The sequence below is a fragment of the Homo sapiens genome, chromosome 6 (genome assembly GCF_000001405.40).
Source record: "Homo sapiens chromosome 6, GRCh38.p14 Primary Assembly".
Classification (NCBI taxonomy): Eukaryota; Metazoa; Chordata; class Mammalia; order Primates; family Hominidae; genus Homo; species Homo sapiens.
This window is the reverse complement of record NC_000006.12, coordinates 136,286,923-136,306,275: the sequence shown is the minus strand read 5'-3', so window position 1 is coordinate 136,306,275 and position 19,353 is coordinate 136,286,923. Positions and strand designations below refer to the sequence as shown.

The 19,353-nt window shown below is 42.9% G+C and overlaps 1 protein-coding gene and 1 long non-coding RNA gene across 26 annotated transcripts in view, besides 8 other annotated features; one reads left to right on the top strand and one right to left on the bottom strand.

Annotated features, from left to right (window-relative positions):
- Positions 1–201: 201 nt before the first annotated feature.
- On the bottom strand, positions 202–16,262 carry LOC124901408 (uncharacterized). Of its 2 annotated transcripts, XR_007059784.1 has the most exons (4): positions 16,119–16,262; positions 11,251–11,580; positions 4,988–5,139; positions 202–761 (listed from the first exon to the last, which is right to left on the bottom strand). It is a non-coding gene; the product is annotated as an uncharacterized LOC124901408 (long non-coding RNA). The 2 variants fall into 2 exon arrangements; XR_007059785.1 differs by lacking the exons at positions 202–761; positions 4,988–5,139; positions 11,251–11,580 and adding an exon at positions 13,336–13,672.
- Positions 15,735–15,854: an enhancer, noted in NCBI's record as "active region_25114". NCBI's record gives its function as "activates an Ori minimal core promoter by ATAC-STARR-seq in GM12878 lymphoblastoid cells {active_cell/tissue: GM12878}" and the evidence as "EXISTENCE:reporter gene assay evidence [ECO:0000049][PMID:35858748]".
- Positions 15,735–17,039: a biological region, named in NCBI's record as "BRD4-independent group 4 enhancer GRCh37_chr6:136610456-136611655".
- Positions 15,759–16,958: an enhancer, noted in NCBI's record as "BRD4-independent group 4 enhancer chr6:136610456-136611655 (GRCh37/hg19 assembly coordinates)". NCBI's record gives its function as "activates an origin of replication core promoter dependent on BRD2, P300/CBP, MED14 and CDK7 cofactors, and independent of BRD4, by STARR-seq in HCT116 cells {active_cell/tissue: HCT116}" and the evidence as "EXISTENCE:reporter gene assay evidence [ECO:0000049][PMID:35650434]".
- Positions 16,175–16,394: an enhancer, noted in NCBI's record as "active region_25113". NCBI's record gives its function as "activates an Ori minimal core promoter by ATAC-STARR-seq in GM12878 lymphoblastoid cells {active_cell/tissue: GM12878}" and the evidence as "EXISTENCE:reporter gene assay evidence [ECO:0000049][PMID:35858748]".
- Positions 16,430–19,353, top strand: part of BCLAF1 (BCL2 associated transcription factor 1) — a 33,220-nt gene continuing 30,296 nt past the window's right edge. For all 24 annotated transcript variants that reach the window (NR_170166.1, NR_170168.1, NR_170170.1 and 21 more), the window contains exon 1: positions 16,430–16,563. The gene's annotated coding sequence lies outside the window, so the exon portion shown is untranslated. The remainder of the gene's footprint in view (positions 16,564–19,353) is intronic.
- Positions 16,443–17,039: an enhancer, noted in NCBI's record as "NANOG-H3K27ac-H3K4me1 hESC enhancer chr6:136610375-136610971 (GRCh37/hg19 assembly coordinates)". NCBI's record gives its function as "activates a minimal SCP1, AML or CMV promoter by ChIP-STARR-seq in primed H9 embryonic stem cells {active_cell/tissue: H9 hESC(primed)}" and the evidence as "EXISTENCE:reporter gene assay evidence [ECO:0000049][PMID:30033119]".
- Positions 16,905–17,024: an enhancer, noted in NCBI's record as "active region_25112". NCBI's record gives its function as "activates an Ori minimal core promoter by ATAC-STARR-seq in GM12878 lymphoblastoid cells {active_cell/tissue: GM12878}" and the evidence as "EXISTENCE:reporter gene assay evidence [ECO:0000049][PMID:35858748]".
- Positions 17,040–17,636: an enhancer, noted in NCBI's record as "NANOG-H3K27ac-H3K4me1 hESC enhancer chr6:136609778-136610374 (GRCh37/hg19 assembly coordinates)". NCBI's record gives its function as "activates a minimal SCP1, AML or CMV promoter by ChIP-STARR-seq in primed H9 embryonic stem cells {active_cell/tissue: H9 hESC(primed)}" and the evidence as "EXISTENCE:reporter gene assay evidence [ECO:0000049][PMID:30033119]".
- Positions 17,395–17,514: an enhancer, noted in NCBI's record as "active region_25111". NCBI's record gives its function as "activates an Ori minimal core promoter by ATAC-STARR-seq in GM12878 lymphoblastoid cells {active_cell/tissue: GM12878}" and the evidence as "EXISTENCE:reporter gene assay evidence [ECO:0000049][PMID:35858748]".

Below are 19,353 nucleotides of genomic sequence, written 5' to 3'. Positions count from 1 at the left end.
TCTCAATCTCCTCCCACTGGCCACCTAATCTCTTGCCCATAACTCCTTAACTCCTTTTCAAACTCTGCTACTTTTCAAACTCAGTGTGTGGCCCACACGCTGCCTCTGCCCCTCCTTACTGGAGAACTTGCTGGTATAGATGTTTGCTTATGACACTACCTCTAAACCTTGGTGGATGCTGGGAATGACTTTCCCCTTTCCATGCTTCACTGGCTCCAAAGGAAAGAGGGGAGGGCTGTGGTTCCATGCAGATGTTGGGAGGGGAGAGGAGGAAGAGGATGGCAGGTGCTCAGATTTCAGCTCAATTCTTTCCATCAGTGGAATCCTCAAGGCCTCCCCACCTCATGTTGCATAGGGACACACAACTGCCATTGCAAATATTGTTTCCATTTTTCAGATTCATCATATTCCTCCTGTTAAAACGACCATGATCCTGTCAAATAGCAGCCCTAGCCTATTGTGTGAAGGAACATTTGACTATTCTGCTTATTTACAATATAAGATCCATTTAATCAACCAAGAAATGGGTCTATTACAGTGGTTCTTAAACTTGAATGTACATTACAGTCACCTGGAAGGTTTGTTAGAACATGGAATGCTGGGCCTTATTCCAGAATTTCTGATTCAGTAGTTCTATGGCGGAGTCTGAGAACTTCTGTTGCTAACAAGTCCCCAGGTGATGCTGTTGCTGCAGCGTCATTTCCTCGAGGACCATTTCCTCGATTAGCATTACTGGGATGAACGGGAATACCCTTCCTCTCCTGGAAGAAGGAAGAAGGACTATCTCAGTTCAGCCTCTTGGTAGTAAGTCACTTTGAAAATGCTGTACAACTCATCAGTATGTTAAAACAACAGGCTTGAGTACCACTGTTATAAACCGTTTAGTGAAGGGAGGATACACATTATCAAATATACATATATACACATATATCACAGAGGCAAATACAATCACTTGGGCAGAATGCCAGCATTAGTATCTTTCCTGAGAGGCAATCAGATCTTTTTGAAGACCACCTCTTGAAAATCAAATATTTCCTTAAATAGAACTGGGAAATTCATTTGCTTAGTCCCTTATTTTTCCTGAAATATGCAATGACAAAGAGTGATGTTTCAATGAAATACAGATTATACCAGTTACTTGATGTGAGCCTGGGTTTCAACGAGATAATTTTCTATTATTTATCTGTCATAAGTGTATAATACTTCATTTCTTCAAATACCTCATTTATTCTTCAATAAATATTTGTTGATTGAAGAATGAATATTCAACATTATGAAAATGAATATAATCTTGTATAACACTGTCAACTAAGCAGGAAGAATGACATAGTCCCAGGAACCCCAAGTTGTTGAGGGCTGAATAACAAAGTAATAGGTGTTCAGAAAGAAGGGTGCAGTTGGGAGAGGTGTTACTTTGCCAAGGAGCTTCTGGCAGGGCCTCTATTGTGCCAGAATGTATAGCCAAAGGCTCAAATAGGGCCGAGCTCCAGCCTGCACTCTGCTCGCCTGCTCTTCGAGCCACAAGCCTAAGCGTGGGGATGCCTCAGCCTGAGGAAAGGGTAAGTTTGTCTCATCTTCTCAAAGACATCTGATGAGCTATTGGCAGCTCAACTTACCTGTGTCTTGATTTTTCCCTGGAGTCATCAGTCATGAGTCAGCCTGTGAACATTGGAAGGAGCAGAGGATAACTAGTTTTTTCACATGACATTGCATTTATGGAACCACACTGTGGATTTTCAAGTCTTTCTTGTCATTCCCCATGAGCAGAGGCCTAAGATCTTTTCTGAAAACTTTCTGTGAACATTGGGGGACAGCTTTACTTTGTAGATTCAGGGTCCTGGGAGGGCATAAAAAATTATCCCCATAGGAATCTTACCCTATTTAACAACTGAAGCCTGACATTCCAATTTAATTTAATATTTTTAGTCCAATTATGTTGAAATTAAAAAACTGTGAATGATTTTGCTGTTAGCACATTGCTTTTAGCATTCTGTTTATGTATGTCACAGAACTTAGTAAATATTACTGTACGGATTTACTTTGCTGAGCCATTTCCCTCAATATAAGATCTCTGGAAACAGGCTGACTGTCAGTTCAGGTTGATAGAATGAATTGCCATAGGCTGGGTGGCTTACAAACAAAATAAACATTTCTCACTGTTCTGGAGGCTGGAAAGTTGACATCGAGTGCCACCATAGTCCAGTTCTGGTGAGGGTCTTCTGGGTTGCAGGCTGACAACTTCTCCTTGTATCCTCAAGTGGCAGAAAGTCCAAGGAAGGGTAGTTTTGCCTCATCTTCTCAAAGACATCTGATGAGCTATTGGCAGCCCAACTTATCTGTGTCTTGATTTTTCTCCAGGAGTCATTAGTCATCAAGATAACTAATTTTTTCACACAACACCATTTATGTGGTTTCATAAATGCAGTGTTTTCTGCAGTGTTCTCTAGCGGGACAGAACTAATAGGATAGATGTATATATGAAGGGGAATTTATTAAGGAGAATTGACTCACAGGATCACAAGAGGAAGTCCCACAATAGGCCATCTGCAAGCTGAGGAACAAGGAAGCTGGTCTGAGTCCCAAAACCTTAAAAGCAGGGAAGCTGACAGTACAGCCTTCAGTCTGTGGCTGAAAGCCCAAGAGCCCCTGGCACACCACTGGTGTAAGTCCAAGAGTCCAAAAGCTGAAGAACTTGTAGTATGATGTTTGAGGGCAGGAAGCATCCAGCACGGGAGAAAGATGAAGGCCCGAAGACTCAGCAAGACGTCTCCTTCCACCTTCTTCTGCCTGCTTTTTCTAGCCTGGTTGGCAGCTGCTCAGATGGTGTCCATGCAGTTTGAGGGTGGGTCTGCCTCTCCCAGTCCCCTGACTCAAATGTTAATATCCCTTGGCAACACCCTCATAGACACACCCAGGAACAATACTTTACATCCTTTAATCCAATGAAGTTGACACTCATTAACCATCACAGTGCATTTTCAATAATTCTACCAAAAGCTAGGTAGTTCTCTGGGCTTTTCTTATAAGGGCACTAATACATTTATGAGTGCCCCACCCTTATGTCCTAATTACTACCCAGAGGCCCTGCCTCCAAATACCATCGCATTGAGATTAGGTTCTCAACATAGGAATTTTGGGGGCAACACAAACATTCAGTCCATTGCAGGGGTCTTGTCATATTTTTGGCAGTCTCTTTTTCCCCAGTACTTAGTACAGTCCCTGTTACACAGTAGACCCTCAGCAAATGTTTACTGAATAAAACAACAAGGATACTATCCTATTATTTGTTCTGTGACTTCAGGAAAATTAAGACTTTATGTTCATAATCTTACAAAATTTATTCATTCTTAAGGAAGACTGAAGAATAATTTGATTTCTGATATTTCTGATCTGGAGTCTAAATCCAAATCAGTTCTTTACATCTTCAGATCTACAAATATCATTTGGAATAAAAGTTCACAAAATTTTTTATGTCATCACCATCTGTTTCTTTAATTTGATTCCTTGTGTTTATTTTTCAAAAAACCCTAAGATTCTATTCTGGCAGATATTATTTTCATTGCTTTATTAACATTTTGGGCATTTGCTCTGGTACTATCAAAATAGGTCCTTGCGCCATATAGAGCAAATGACAGTTTACCCAGGACCATTTGCCAGTGTCTATTGCATCAAGATGTGTCCATGTTTATTGCAATAAATGTGATTAGAAATGTCTGCTACTCCTAGGTTAAGGATATTAAAAAGAGGTATGTCTCCTCCCTGATCTGTCCTCCTTTTGCCAGCTAGTACAAGGCAACAATGAGGCCACAGGAAGGGTTAATCTTTTTTTTTTTTTTTTTTTTTTTTTGAGATGGAATCTCACTCTGTCGCCCAGGCTGGAGTGCACTGGTACGATCTCAGCTCACTGCAACCTCCACCTCCCGAGTTCAAGCGATTCTTCTGCCTCAGCCTCCCGAGTAGCTGGGACTATAGGTGCATGCCACCACGCCCGACTAACTTTTGTATTTTTAGTAGAGATGGGGTTTCACCATATTGGCCAGGCTGGTCTCGAACTCCTGACCTTGTGATCCGCCCACCTCGGCCTCCCAAAGTGCTGGATTATATGCGTGAGCCACCGCACCTGGCCAGAAAGGGTTAATCTTATTTGTACCATGCATGGATTGTTTGGCACACTGAAGAATGCTCTGCATCCCTTCTCAGAATAACATTTTATTTATTATTTTTTAAATTTTAATTTTTATTGTTTTACAGACAGAGTCTCACTGTGTTTCTCAGGCTGGTCTCAAACTCCTGGTCTCAAGTAATCCTCCTGCCTCCGCCTCCTGCATGGTTGGGATTAGAGGCACAAGCCACCATGCCTGGCAAAATAATGTTTTAAAATGCATAAAACAAAATAATAGATTTATAAAGGAAACAAATTATAATGAATACAATTATAAAAACATTTAGAAAGTTAGTGATACAGGCTGGGCGCGGTGGCTCATGCCTGTAATCCCAGCACATTGGGAGGCCAAGGTGGGTGGATCACCTGAGGTCAGGAGTTTGGGACCAGCTTGGCCAACATGGCGAAACCTCGTCCCTACTAAAAATACAAAAAACATTAGCTGGGTGTGGTGGCGGGCGCCTGTAATCCTAGCTACTCAGGAGGCTGAGGTAGGGAGAATCACTTGAACCTGGGAGGCAAAGGCTGCAGTGAGCCAAGATTGTACTATTGCACTCCAGCCTGGGCAACAAGAGCCACACTCTCTCAAAAAAAAAAAAAAAAAAAAAAAAAGTAAGTTAGTGATACAATGATATATGTATACATTAGCTCTCTATTGATATATAATAAATTCTCTCCAACCTTAGTAGCTTAAAACATTTATTCTCTCACATTCCTGGGGGTCAGGAATCTGAGACCAGCTTAGCTGGGTGGTTGCGGCTCAGGGTATCTCACAAGGCTACAATCAAGATGCCAACTAAATAGGCAGTCATCTGGAGGCATTACCTGGGGAAAGGTCCACTTCCAAGCTCACTCAAATGGCTATTGGCAAGCTTCAGTTCTTTGTCATATTGACCTCTCCACAGACTCATGGAGTCACTCTCCACAACCTCTCAGTTATCTCAGGACATAGCAGTTCACTTCCCCTGTAGCAAGTGCTCGAAGAGAGGGTACAGAACATAGATTCAGTACACTTAATCTCAGAAATGACATCCCATCATTTCTGCCATATTCTGTTACTGGAAGGGGATTACACAAGGGTACGAATGCCAGGAAACCAGGATCACTGGGAGCTACCGTAAAGGTTAAGATAATATGCTTTTTAAAAAATACATTAAAGTAGAGGATCTAGAGGCGGGTATACAACTACTATAATTTTGAAAGCATTCCAAGTAGAAACAACTCTTTGAAAGATCTACAAAACAATTTTTTTTTTTTCTGCAACGGAGTCTCGCTGTGGCTCTGTTGCCCAGGCTGGAGTGCGGTGGTGCCATCTCAGCTCACTGCAAACTCTGCCTCCCGGGTTCAAGTGGTTCTTCTGCCTCAGCCTCCCGAGTAGCTGGGACTACAGGCATGCGCCACCACATCTGGCTAATTTTTGTATTTTTAGTAGAGACAGGATTTCACCATATTGGCCAGGCTGGTTTCCAACTCCTCACCTTGTGATCTGCCCGCCTTGGCCTCCCAAAGTGCTGGGATTACAGGCATGAGCCACCATGCCTGGCCTAACAGTAATGATTTTTTAAAAATCGGTGATTTTTATTTATTACAAAGTCATAAGTACTGGTAATACTTCTGTGGTTTTGCCTACATTCATAATTAAGGGAAATGATAAATTTCAGTTTGAAGTTAACAAGGATGTAATTTTTATTTATTTTTTTTTTTTTGAGACAGAGTCTCTTTCTGTTGCCCAGGCTGGCGTGCAGTGGCACGATCTCGGCTCACTGCAACCTCTGCCTCCTGGGTTCAAGTGATTCTCCTGCCTCAGCCTCCCGAGTAGTTGGGATTACAGGTGCCTGCCACCATTTCTGGCTATTTTTTAAATATTTTTAGTAGAGATGGAGTTTCACCATGTTGACCAGGCTGGTCTCAAATTCCTGACCTCAGGTAATCCGCCCGCCTTGTCCTGCCAAAGTGCGGGGATTGCAGGCGTGAGCCACCACGCCCGGCCCCAACAGGGATGTAATTTTTCCCATACAAATATAGCGACATCTCTGGGAGGTTGGGAGAGGTGTGAGGGATACAAGACTACATACTGGGTACAGTGTACACTGCTTGGGTGATGGGTGCACTAAAATCTCAGAATTCACCATTGAAGAATTCATCCATGTAACCAAAAACCACCGGTACCCAAAAAACTATTGAATTAAAAACAACAACAACAACAACAACAAATTATAGTGACAGGTCTGAATTCTATCCACGGATTCTTTGGGAATTGGTAGACCCCTGAGTTCTATCCATGGAGTCACAAGATGGCTTAGGGCCCTGAATCACTGCATGGAGAAAATACTTACCAACCTAATTCAACTGTCTTGGACTGTTTGAGAAAAAGCTTCTATTGCATGTAAGTCATTATGTATTCCGGAGTCTATTTGTTACCACAGCCTAGTTTATACTATCTTTGCCAATGTACATTTGCTAATTACTGTATTATTACTACTGTCTTCACTTTGTCCTTCAACATACATTTTTGAGTAAAATGTCAATTTCCCTTTGTGTTAAATTTCATATATGTATCTATTATTATAGAGCATCTCATACCACTAGCAAGTAATAAATTGTATTGAATATGTATCAAAGACATATGGAGACTAAATTATATTTTTCCAGGGACTTTTACTCTTTTTTTCTTCCAATTTTCAGTTTTATGCACCAGATGGTTGTCAGCTGGATCACTATGAATAAATTATAAATGGCCAATAACAATAAATATTTGTATAGTTCCTGCTCCTGAGCAATTTTTAAGCATGTGAATGAATTTGTTTTCAAACAGTAAGCATCTCATCATGGAGTGAATAGATCATCTCACATGCCATTGACAGAAATATCTCCCTGGAATATATAACAAAGAATGAATGTGTTTAGGAAAAGCTACTGGATGGGCTTGTGTGGGTAGAAATTAACCTCATTACAGTACAAAGTTAAGCTTAATAATGTAGATTAAAAAATAATGGCACAAATACTAGAAACACAAAGTCAGGTCTGTGCTTTCACTATACTCTCTAAAATGGAACTTAAGAAATCAGCCAGTGGTGCTTTTAACATAATTAGCCAGACCCTAATATGACAAATAGAACTTTGAAAAATAACTGTCTTGCAAAGGATTAAGCCATTTTTAGATCTATCTATCACAGTTGGTTGGAATTCAGTGTAAAGTTTCCTTTTAAATGGAAGCAAACAATTTTATATATGTTTTTCTCTTGTTGAACCAAGTACTCCCCTTCATTGCTCGACAGAAGATTCATGAAGCTAAAAGAGGACTATAGAGCACTCTAGGAAAAAAAAACCCCAAAATCCCACAAAAACAAATCTAAAAGATTCTCTCTGGAAGCAAATATTCTCCTAGCAGCAGTTTATAATTAGGCTTATCAAGATTGTGATTTAGTAATGGATATTTTATTATGTATATATGTATGTTTGTATTTTTTAGAGGTAGGTTCTCTCTCTGTCACCCAGGTTGGAGTACAGTGGCTCACACAGTTCAAATTCTGGGTGTAAGTAATCCTCCCTCTTCGGCTTCCTAAAGTGATGGGATTACAGGCATGAGACACCATACCCATCCTTATTCTTCTTGTTTATTAAATGAGAGCTTTTACGCTTGATTTGGAAGAACCACACACACACACACACACACACACACACACACACAAACTTGCTGGGCGAGGTGGCTCACGCTTGTAATCCCAGCACTTTGGGAGGCCGAGGTTGGCAAATCACCTGAGGTCAGGAATTTGAGAACAGCCCGGCCAACATGGTGAAACCCCGTCTCTACTAAAAATACAAAAATTTGCCAGGCGTGGTGGTGCATGCCTGTAATTCCAGCTACTTGGGGGGCAGAGGCAGGAGAATTGCTTGAACCTGGGAGGTGGAGGTTGCAGTGAGCTGAGATCGTGCCACTGCACTCCAGCCTGGGCAACAGAGCGAGACTCTGTCTCAAAAAACAAAAACAAGACCTCTCAGTTTTTAGGTCTTCATTATCTTACACAATTCAAATAAAATTCAATGGTCTACATTTTTAAAAGTTTTTTGATATTAATATTATGAAAGTAATTTTTATTGTAGAAATTTTAGAAAATACAGAAGAGCAAAGGAAGAAAATGTTTTAAAAATTGCCAGTGATGTGGCCATTCAATATATACACAGAACAGTATCATTTTGAGGTTGATTCTTCTGTTTCTACATAGATAGATAAATTTTTAAATGAGATTTTTAAAATGACTTATTTATTTATTTTTAGAGATAGTCTCCCTATGTCACCCAGGCTGGAGTGCAACTTCAAGGGACCCTAAGCCAGAACCACCCAAATAATCACTCTCAGATTTCTGATCCACAGGAGCTGTGAGATAGTAAACATTAAGCTGGTAAATTTGGGGTCATTCATTACGCAGCAGTAGACAACCAATACATTTGATTTCACTTATTTCCTACTTCATAGGCTGTTCTCAGTCTCCTTTATTGGCTCCGCCTCCTCTTTTAACAAATCTCTAAATGTTGGGATTCTTTAGGGTTCACTCCTAGGCTGTCTTCTCTTGTCTCCCTATATTTCTCATCCTGTGATTTTATCTTATTTTATTTTATTTTTTTTTAGAAAGGGTCTCGCTCTGTCACCCATGCTGGAGTGCAGTGGTGCAATCATGGCTCACTGCAGTCTCAACATCCTGGGCTCTAGAAATCCTCCTGCCTCAGCCTTCCAAGTAGATGGGACTACAGTTGTGCACCACCACACCCAACCAATTTTTAAACTTTTAATAGAGACGGGGTCTCCCTATGTTGCCCAGGCTGGTCTTGAAGTCCTAGGCTCAAGCCATTCTCCTGCCTTGGCATCCCAAATTGTTGGGATTACAGGTGTGAGCCAATGCGCCAAGCCTCATCCAATAATTCTAAATATAATCTTTTTGCTTTATCTCTTGGCTAGAACTCACCTCTGAACCACGGATGCACACATTTAACTTCATACCTTGCCTCTGTACTTAAAAGTTTCACACACATATCAAGCCTAATATATTCAAAATGGAATTCCTGATTTCCTTCCCTTTTCCCAATCTGTTTCATTCTTCCCTTCCCTATCATTCTCTCTAATCTTTCCAATTATTATAATGGTATCAGGCCGGGCGCTGTGGCTCACACCTGTAATCCCAGCACTTTGGGAGGCCGAGGCGGGTGGATCAAGAGGTCAAGACCATCCTGGCTAACATGGGGAAACCCAGTCTCTACTAAAAATACAAAAATTAGCCGGGCGTGGTGGTGCGCGCCTGTAGTCTCAGCTACTCGGGGGGCTGAGGCAGGAGAATCGCTTGAACCCGGGAAGCGGAGGTTGCAGTGAGCTGAGATCGTGCCACTGCACTCCAGCCTGGCGATAGTGGGAGACTCTGTCTCAAAAAAACCAAAAAAACAAAAAAACAGAAAAAAAAAATCACGGATCATTAGAGAAAAGCAAATAAAAACCACAATGAGATATCATCTCATACCAGTCAGAATGGCTACTCTTAAAAAGTCAAAAAAATACCAGATGCTGGCGAGGTTGTGAAGAAAAAGAAATTCGATATACTGTTGGTGAGAGTGTAAATTAGTTCAGCCATTGTGGAAGGCAGTGTGGTGATTCCTCAAAGATCTAAAAACAGAAATATTTGACCCAGGCAGGGCACAGTGGTTCACACCTGTAATCCCAGCACTCTGGGAGGCCGAGGTGGGTGGATCATGAGGTCAGGAGTTCAAGACCAATATGGTGAAACCCCATCTCTACTAAAAATACAAAAATTAGCCAGGCGTGGTGGTGCGCACCTATAGTCCCAGCTACTCAGGAGGCTGAGGCAGGAGAATCATTTGAACCTGGGAGGCAGAGATTGCAGTGAGCCGAGATCGCGCCACTGCACTCCAGCCTGGGCAACAGAGCGAGACTCCATCTCGAATATAAAAAAGAAAAAAAAAAAAAGAAATATTTGACCCAGCAATGCCATTACTGGGTATATACCCAAATAAATACAAATTGTTCTATTATAAAGAGAACATGCACACATATGTTCATTGCAGCACTAGTCACAGTAGCAAAGACATGGAATCAACCTAAATGTCCATCAGTGATGAACTGGATAAAGAAAATGTGGTACATATACACCACAGAATACTATGCAGCCATAAAAAAATAATGAGATCATGTCTTTTACAGGAACAGGGATGGAGCTGGAGGCCATTATCCCTAGCAAACTAACACAGCAACAGTAAACCAAATACATGTTCTCACTTATAAGTGGGAGCTAAATGATGAGAACACATACATGGACACGCTGAGGGGAAGAACACATGCTAGGGCCTTTAGGAAGGTGAGGGTGGGAGGAGGAAGAGGATGAGTAAAAACAACTAATGGGTACTAGGCTTAATACCTTGGTGATGAAATAACCTTTACAACAACCCCCCAGGATGCAAGTTTACCTGCGTAACAAATCTGCACTTGTACTCCTGAACTTAAAAGTTAAATAAATAAATAGATAAATAAGGTCTCCTTCTTTGATTTTCTATCACGTCCTGATTGATAGTACAATTTGTGTCTGCTTACGTGTGTTCTGTCTCCCTCACAGAGAGGCAGTCTACCTGGGAGCAGTGTCAGCGTTAGGCTTCATCACTGCTCCATCCTGAGCACCTGGCTCAGTACCTACAAATGGCACATGCTTCAGGCATATTTGCTGACTAAATAAACAAATGAATAAATGACGGGTGAAATCCCACTCATTTTTAAAATGCTAGTTCTTTCCCTCTTTCACCATAGGCACTTGCTCCCATGTAGATCTGATGTGAGAGTTACACCCTCTCTCTGCTGGATTTTGAGTTACAACAGAGAAGCAGCAACGATGTCTCATACTGCTTTGTAGTCTGTAACAGTGGTCTCCAACCTTTTTGGAACCAGGGACCGGTTTTGTGGAAGACAATTTTTTCATAGACTGAGGGCGGTAGGATGGTTTTAGGATGATTTAAGTGCATTACATTTATTGTGCATTTTATTTCTACTATTATTATGTTGTAATATATAATGAAATAATTATACAACTCACCATAATGTAGAATCAATGGGAGCCCTGAGCTTGTTTTCCTGCAACTAGATGATCACATGTTGGCATGATGGGAGACAGTGACAGATCATCAGACCTTAGATTCTCACAAGCAGCCTGCAACCTAGATCCCTTGCACTCGCAGTTCACAATAGGGTTCACGCTCCTATGAGTCTAAGGCCACCACTGATGTGACAGGAGGAAGAGCTCAGATGGTAATGCAAGTGATGGGGAGTGGCTGTAAATATACATGAAGCTTCGCTGGACTGATGTTCACCTCCTTCTGTGTGGACTGGTCTGGGAGTTGGAGACCCTTGGTCTGGTCTGTAATATCTAGAATATGACAGGTCTTCAATAAATCAGTGGTTCTAAAACTTTAGTGTGTATCCTTACCCCCACAGATTCTGCCTCAATAAATGTGTAATGAGACTCAGTTCTCTTAAACAACCTAGGTTATTCTCATGAGTTGGCTTCTGTTTTACACTTTAAGAAAACCGGCATTAGGGCTTGTCAATATCAACGGTGACTCCCTCTCCAGGCCAGGCTTAATTCTTAGTTCTTTTAAAATAAGCAATGAGGCTGAAATTTCAGCCTATCTCACTCCTACCTGCAATACTCTATGCTCTGTATTTCACTACTTTTAAATATCATCATTGGTTGCAGCCCTTTGCTTAGGTGATTTTAGCCTTCTGTGAGATAAATTGTCTGGGTAGAACTGAGCTTTCAGACTTTTCAGGGGGCAAACAGAGATATTTGTTGGCAACTGGATAACTGCTTTAAAAGAAGGAGTTGTTCTGTAACTCTTATAACCTCTCCTAAGGAAGAAATGATTTCTGGGTATGAATCCCATCATGATTCTGTTGCCCCATTTTAGGGGGGGTTCCCTCTTTGTTCTTCAATAGTTACATTAAACAGCAAGCTGGCATAATTTCTGGGCAAAGATTTCTTATGAAAACTTTGAAAGAATTTAATGTTCTATTTGTTTTTTCCATCTTTCTGAGAAAGATGCGCATTAATCTTGATAGAACTTAGAAACAATAGTTAACAGTCACATTTTGATATTTTTCTGTTTGTTTGTTTGAGACAGAGTCTCGCTCTGTTGCCCAGGCAGGAGTGCAGTGGCACAATCTTGGCTTACTGTGGCCTCCGCCTCCCAGGCTCAAGCAATCCTCCTAACTCAGCCTCCTGAGTAGCTGGGATTACAAGTGGGAACCACCACACTAGGTTAATATTTAAAATTTTCGGCTGGGCGCGGTGGCTCACGCTTGTAATCCCAGCACTTTGGGAGGCCGAGGCAGGTGGATCACGAGGTCAGGAGTTCAAGACCAGCCTGGCCAAGATGGTAAAACCCTGTCTCTACTAAAAATACAAAAATTAGCTGGGCATGGTGGTGCACGCCTGTAACCCCAGCTACTTGGGAGGCTGAGGCAGAGAACTGCTTGAACCTGGGAGGCGGAGATTGTAGTGAGCCGAGATCCCGCCACTGCACTCCAGCCTGGGCAACAGAGCAAGGCTCCGTCTCAAAAAGAAAAAAACCCAAAACCAAAAAACAACAACAAAAAAATCCAAATATTTAAATTTTTCGAACAGACAAGGTCTCACATATTGCCTAGGTTGGTCTCAAATTCTTGGCTCAAGTGATCCTCCTACCTCAGCCTCCCAAAGTGCTGGGATTATAGGTGTGAGCCACCATACCTGGCTCATTTTGATATTTCAATTTTTTTTCAAAATGGTGAGATGAATATTAAGGAACAACACTGTAAATACATAATTCTTAAATAATTTTGGTAATTTTAAACCAAAATAATTAAAATTGAAAAAATAAAATTAAAATATTTTAAATAAAATAAATAACTCTACATTCTTAGTATGTAAAAGGGGATAGAAAAATAAGGAAAATATCCTAGTCAATTTGTTCACCAGTAGGAATGAAATAGTCTAGACAAGGGGAACCATTTATTTCACTGGTACAGATCTAAAAAAATGCCAGATCATTTGGAAAACTGACCTCATAAATAGGACCTGCTTCTACTCAAAACTGTGACATGGAGTTCAGGGTTCTTAGCAAACAAAAGAAACCAATTCTGATTAACTCATCAGGAAAAGAAATTTACTGGAAGGATACCAGCTAGCTCAAAGAATCAATGAACATTTTATCACTTAAAATTAAAAAAAGAAATTAGCACAAAGCCTGTAGAGGGATATGCACAAATGGAGGCCATGCAGCAGGAACTACAGCCAAAGTCCGGCCCCATCAGCACTCTAGTTAGGGAATCTCTGTTGGTCACGTTTCCTCTGCTGCCTGCTTCCCACTACTACTGTTGGGTTCCCAATGCCAGTATTTTCAGGGAGTGGGAAGAGTGAGACTCCAAATACCACTTCAGCTTCAATTTCCCCAAATACGGAAATAGTTCAGATGTTCCATCTAAAAAGATAAACAAAACAAACCAAGCAAAACCAGTCAGGTCTTGGAGCTTGCCTTCCTGCTAGACTTCCAACCCCATCCTCATTCCTATCTTCTTATCTTTGTCCTTTTCACATATCCATTCTTCTCCATTTCTCTTTTTCCTTTTCTTGTCTCCATTTCTTTTTTCATTTTCTTTCTTTCTTTCTTTCTTTTTGAAATACAGTCTTGATCCGTCGCCTAGGCTGGAGTGCAGTGGTGTGATCTCGGCTTACTGCAACCGCCACCTGCCGGGTCCAAGCGATTCTCCTGCCTCAGCCTCCTAAGTAGCTGGGACTACAAGTGCCCACCACCAAGCCCGGCTAATTTTTGTATTTTTAGAAGAGACGGAGTTTCACCATATTGGCCAGGCAGGTCTCGAACTCCAGACCTCAAGTGATCCGCCCGTGTCGGCTTCCCAAAGTGCTGGGACTACAGGCGTGAGCCACAGCGTCTGGCCCATTTCTCTTTTTCAATTATCTTAAATTAAAATCAAACCAAAACAGAAGCAATATCTTTCAAGAAAGAGTTTTATAATCGTATTAACAATAACTTCTCCATGACCATAAATTAAAATTACCTTGCCGGGCGCGGTGGCTCACGCCTGTAATCCCAACACTTTGGGAGGCTGAGGCGGGCGCATCACTTGAGGCCGGGACTTTGGGACGAGCCTGGCCAACATGGTGAAACACTGTCTCTATTGAAAATACAAACATTAGCTAGGCTTGGTGGCGGGAGCCTGTAACCCCAGCTACCTGGGAGGCTGAGGCAGGAGACTTGCTTGAACCTGGGGGTGCGGAGGTTACAGTGAGCCGAGATCGCGCCACTGCACTCCAGCCTGGGCGACAGAGCGAGACTCTGTTTTTTTTTTTTTTTTAAAATTAAAATCAGCTTACTAATTTATCTCAGCATTCTCTTTGTACCTTTTTAGCAGTTTGGTCATTTGTTTACAACTTGTATTTCTTCTTGAGATAATGTTCTATTTTTCTGCAATGCTCATTTGTTAAATGGGCTCTTTTTTCCTCTGCTCTTTTCGGCGTTTGTATTTTAATAGGAAAAAAATTTATTACAAAGAATGAATCTGTAATGGTGGAATTTCAGGTTTTGAAAATAAGAATGTGCATAAAACATCTAAATTCAAGAACCTCCTACTTTGTAGATTGGGAAAGCATCACGTATCAAATGGATCTATTTCAAGGGAAGTCTGTATAACTTCCACTTACTAAAGGCTTTGTTCCAAAGGATCTCCTTTGTTACTACCTCATGTTATGTAAATAAAATCATAATCAGTTATATTGCCTCAAATAGATACTTCATTTTCAACACATGTGCAATAGAATTGCAGAGGGAGGTCGAAGATAATATCCTAGCCTGCAATTTGGGGTATTTTGAATAAATGAATAACAGCATGTATTGGGAGCGCCCCGACTCCCAATACATGCAGAATAGCAGACGTGTATTGAGCCCTTAGTTGTTTTTTTTTTAAATATAGTTCATTCACTCAACAAATATTTCTGAGAACCTGCGAATGCTTGGGACATCAGGGCACAACAAAAAGGCCAAGGATTTCTGTGTCCACATCCTGAGGTGGTAATGGGGTGAGGGACAGACTGTACAATAAAAAACCTACGATTCACTCCATGAAAATGTTGTCGTTTTTCTAGTTCAGCTGGTAAACTGGACTGTGAAGAAAGAATGCTCTAAGCACAGTGTTAAATTCACAACCAGGGCCCAATCCTAGTTTCGATTCACTCACTGACACCCTGGTTGCTAATTACAAGTCTGAAATCCATCAAGGTAGTTAACATCTCTAAACATCAAAGCAATAGCGGTTTTAGGCCCTAAGAAAGTGCAGCCCGGAGAAGTATTAATGCAAAATGTGCTACGGCTGTTATTTAAATTCTATTCAAATCGAATGTGGCTTGCCTATTTATAATCTGACTTATAATTCTGGACAACCAAGCTACGTTGGGCTGTGTTCCTCGGCTGCCACAAATCATCGTCACAGGCTGAAAGCTCAACTGCTTCGTGCTCTTTATTTTTTCATGCCTATGCCAACGTTGCCGATGTGGTAAAGCTGTCATCACGCCGCCAGAAGGGCGGCCTTCTTTGGCACGAGCAGCCTAAGAGGTTTCCGGCTGCTGCGGCTTGAGCTCCGATTTGATCAGACGCCACGAAAGGGATTTAGATCGTGGCCATTTTTCAACTAAGTGCGTCTGCCGAATTTAATAGCAAACCAAAAGCCACATTTTCTAATCTCCAGTTAGGCGTCCAAGAGGAAAAGTGGCGCTTGCTGGCTGAGGGAGCAGCGTGTCTGCAATTACAGCCACGTCTTGCCTCCTGGTCTTTTCCTCAGTGTGGGATTGTCTTTTTGTTTTTTGCCTGGTCTGAGCCGGCCCCACAGAAAGAACAGACCAGACGAGCTTACTGAGGTAAAACGCAGGGGCGGCGGTGAGGTCTAGGGGGTCTACTCAGAACGAGGCAGAGACACCAGCGAAAAGCGCCGTATGGCGAAGCTAACTCAGGCCTGACAAAACACCCACCCTACTCTACCGCCTCTCCGGCCAAGGCTGACGCTACGGGCCAGAGGGCGGAGCCGTCACATCTTCCCGCGAGACCAGCCACGCGACTTCCCAGAAGGCCGCAGGCAACATCTTAATAGCAGCCAGGAAGCCGGACCGGAGCGGAAGGGTGGGCGGGGCTTGCCCGCATATTTAGCGGCACCCGAGGCCACGCCCCAGATCGGAAGTGACGGAGACGTGCTAGCGCGTCGAAGGTAGCTCTATGGTTTTCCTCGCGTTCTTGAGTCGGGAAATGGCCGCTGTGTGGTTGCAACGGAGATAAATTCCCGGAACCGCGATTCGGCGTGTCAGGTAGGCCTCGCAATGTATTCAAGTTACTCCAGGGGCAGTGAAGACCGAGGACAGGCCATATTTTTGACTCTTTTGTGGGTGGTGTCGGGTTGGCGGCGAAAGGAGAACCAAGGAGACGTTGCGCCGTTATTTATGCGTTTTTTCGTTAGCTTCTCTCAGGTTTTCGAGGCACTACGGGCCGAAAAGGCCGGGCGGGGGCGCTGAGCAGTGCTAACGGCGGGCGCGCGCGTGTTTGCGAACCTGCCTGGAGACCCACAGCCCGCGCGGCCTCCCGTGCGCGTGCGCATATCTTCCTCTTCCACCCTTCCCCCATTTCTTCAGCCCGTACCTCTGCGCGCGCCCGACTGAACGCTCCGCGCACGCGCGCTCGTTCATTTTTCTCTCCCCCGCCTATGGCGCCGACGGCCGCTGGAGGTGCAACTTGTGTCCGCCTCTCATTGGCTGGGACTGCCACCTTTCTTCGTGGCCTGTGGGGTTTTGAGAAAATAACTGTGACCCGCAGCAAAGTGCGTTGAGTAGGTCTACCCCTTTTCGCGTGGTCTTTAAAACTGCCCTCCGGCTTCAGACCACCCGTCAGTTAATGCCTCGTTTTTGTGATGCTACTAGGTTTTAGTGCTCTGTTCTGCCTCTCGCTGCTGACCCTGGTTCTCTGGAGTTAATTTCGGTACCCGCGGCAACCTGCTGTTTTGAAGCGAGCGCGCGCTGTTGACTGGTGCTGGTTGCCTAGTTACGGTTCCCTAGCGAGAGGATTGGGTCTTAGCTGGTGGTTCTGAGCGTGGCCCTGCCCCATCCGGCTGAAAGTGCGGTTCTTCATGAGTACTAGCGAAGCCGAGTCTTTTCAAGTGATTCAGCCCATTTAGTCGTGTCAGAAATGTTGCAGCCACGATTGGTGGACAGCTGGTGTGAGAAATGGGTGGGAGTGGCGAATTGGACTTTGCCTTCATTTTAAATTCATGAGTTGGCTTGATTCGCTTTTAAGATTTATTTCTTCAGAATCAAGCTGAAGTACCAGCAGCTACTTTGCTACCTCAGACTTTTTTAAAAAGCATTTTAGAACTGGAAACAAATTAAGACTGAAGTTGAAAGCAAGTGTGGCTAACACTGACGAAAAAGATGAGCTACTTCAGACTTGTACCTCACTGCAACAGCCTCTTTTAAATTTTTTGGTGTTACAAAGCAAAACAAAATTTCTTGTTCCTCTTGTGAATTCTCATTTCAGTTCGACTTTAGTTGGAATGGTTAGGATACTGTTCAGGCAGTAAATAACCTTTACGTAGGAAAAACTGCTACAAGGCTTTTGTATTTTTGTTTGATCATGACCAATTCAGGATAGGTAATTTGATGGGAGGGAAAAAGTGGCCCCTCGGCGGGAGTTTGAGGCTGCTGTGAGCTGTGCTCGTCCCACTGCACTCCAGCGGGGGCAACAGAGCGAGACCTTGTCACTTAAAAAAGGTAGCTCATGGTAAACAACCTTGGAGCACCTTCTCTTAGTGATTTCATGTTTCAACCAGTACATTGTGGTGAATACTGAAATATCTTGTTTAATTCAGATAATTAAAATGGTGGCAAAGGAAGCTGTTTAGCCAGAGCCCTTCTTGACTTTGAGGAACAGTGGTAGTATAAGACTTGAAGACAGACGTGTAAAAAGTACTACTCACTGGTAGGCTCAGGTCTGGTTGATTGACTGATTCTTGAGACGGAATGTCGCTCTGTCGCCTAGGCAGGAGTGCAGTGGCCCAGTCTCGGCTCACTGCAGCCTCCGTCTCCGGGTCCAAGCGATTCTCCTGCCTCAGCCTCCCGAGTAGCTGGGACTACAGGCGCCCGCCACCACACCGGGCTAATTTTTGTATTTTTAGTAGAGACGGAGTTTCACAATATTGGTCTCGAACTCCTGACCTCAGGTGATCCACTCGCCTGGCCCACCCAAAGTGCTGGGATTACAGGGATGAGCCCCTGCGCCTGGCCTCGGTTGAATTTATTAAACAACTTTTGTGGGCAGCAAGCTGTACGAGGTTAACTATGTGATGAGAAGACTTAGAAATGGAGAAAAGTTTTATCAGTTCTACATAGGACTTAGTTTGGGAGTTTCTGGAAACTACGTTGGAAATCAGTAGTTGCACACTAGCTGAATTCAGCTGTGTAATTTACAGTGATTTGTTATTTACCAAATAAGTAGAAGAGGGAATTAAGAAGCTAAAATCTCTGGGTACTTGTTTGATATGAATTTGTTAATTGTTTATACTCAGGTAATAAGTGTTACCTCAGTCATAGCATTTAATATTTTATCTGACTGTCCCTAAGGCTGAAAACCAACGAATATACTAACACGAAGATAATACTAGATTATATTTGTGTAATATTTTAGAGTTTTCAAACACTTTAATTTTATTTATTTATTTTTTTGAGACAGAGACTCGCTCTGTAGCCCGGGCTGGAGTGCAGTGGCGCCATCTCGGCTCACTGCAACCTCCGCTTCCCTGGTTCAAGCGATTCTCGTATCTCAGCCTCCCAAGTAGCTGGGACTACAGGCGCCGGCCCGCCACCATGTCCTGCTAATTTTTTTTTTTTTTCTTGAGACACAGTCTTGCTCTGTCGCCAAGGCTGGTGTGCAGTGGCGTGATCTTGGCTGACTGCAACCTCTGCCTCCCAGGTTGAAGTGATTCTTGTGCTTCAGCCTCCCCAGTAGCTGGGATTACATGGGATTACAGGTGCACACCACAAAGGCCGGCTAGTTTTTCTGTTTTTGAGATGGAGTCTTGCTCTGTCACCCAGGCTGGAGTGCAGTGGCAT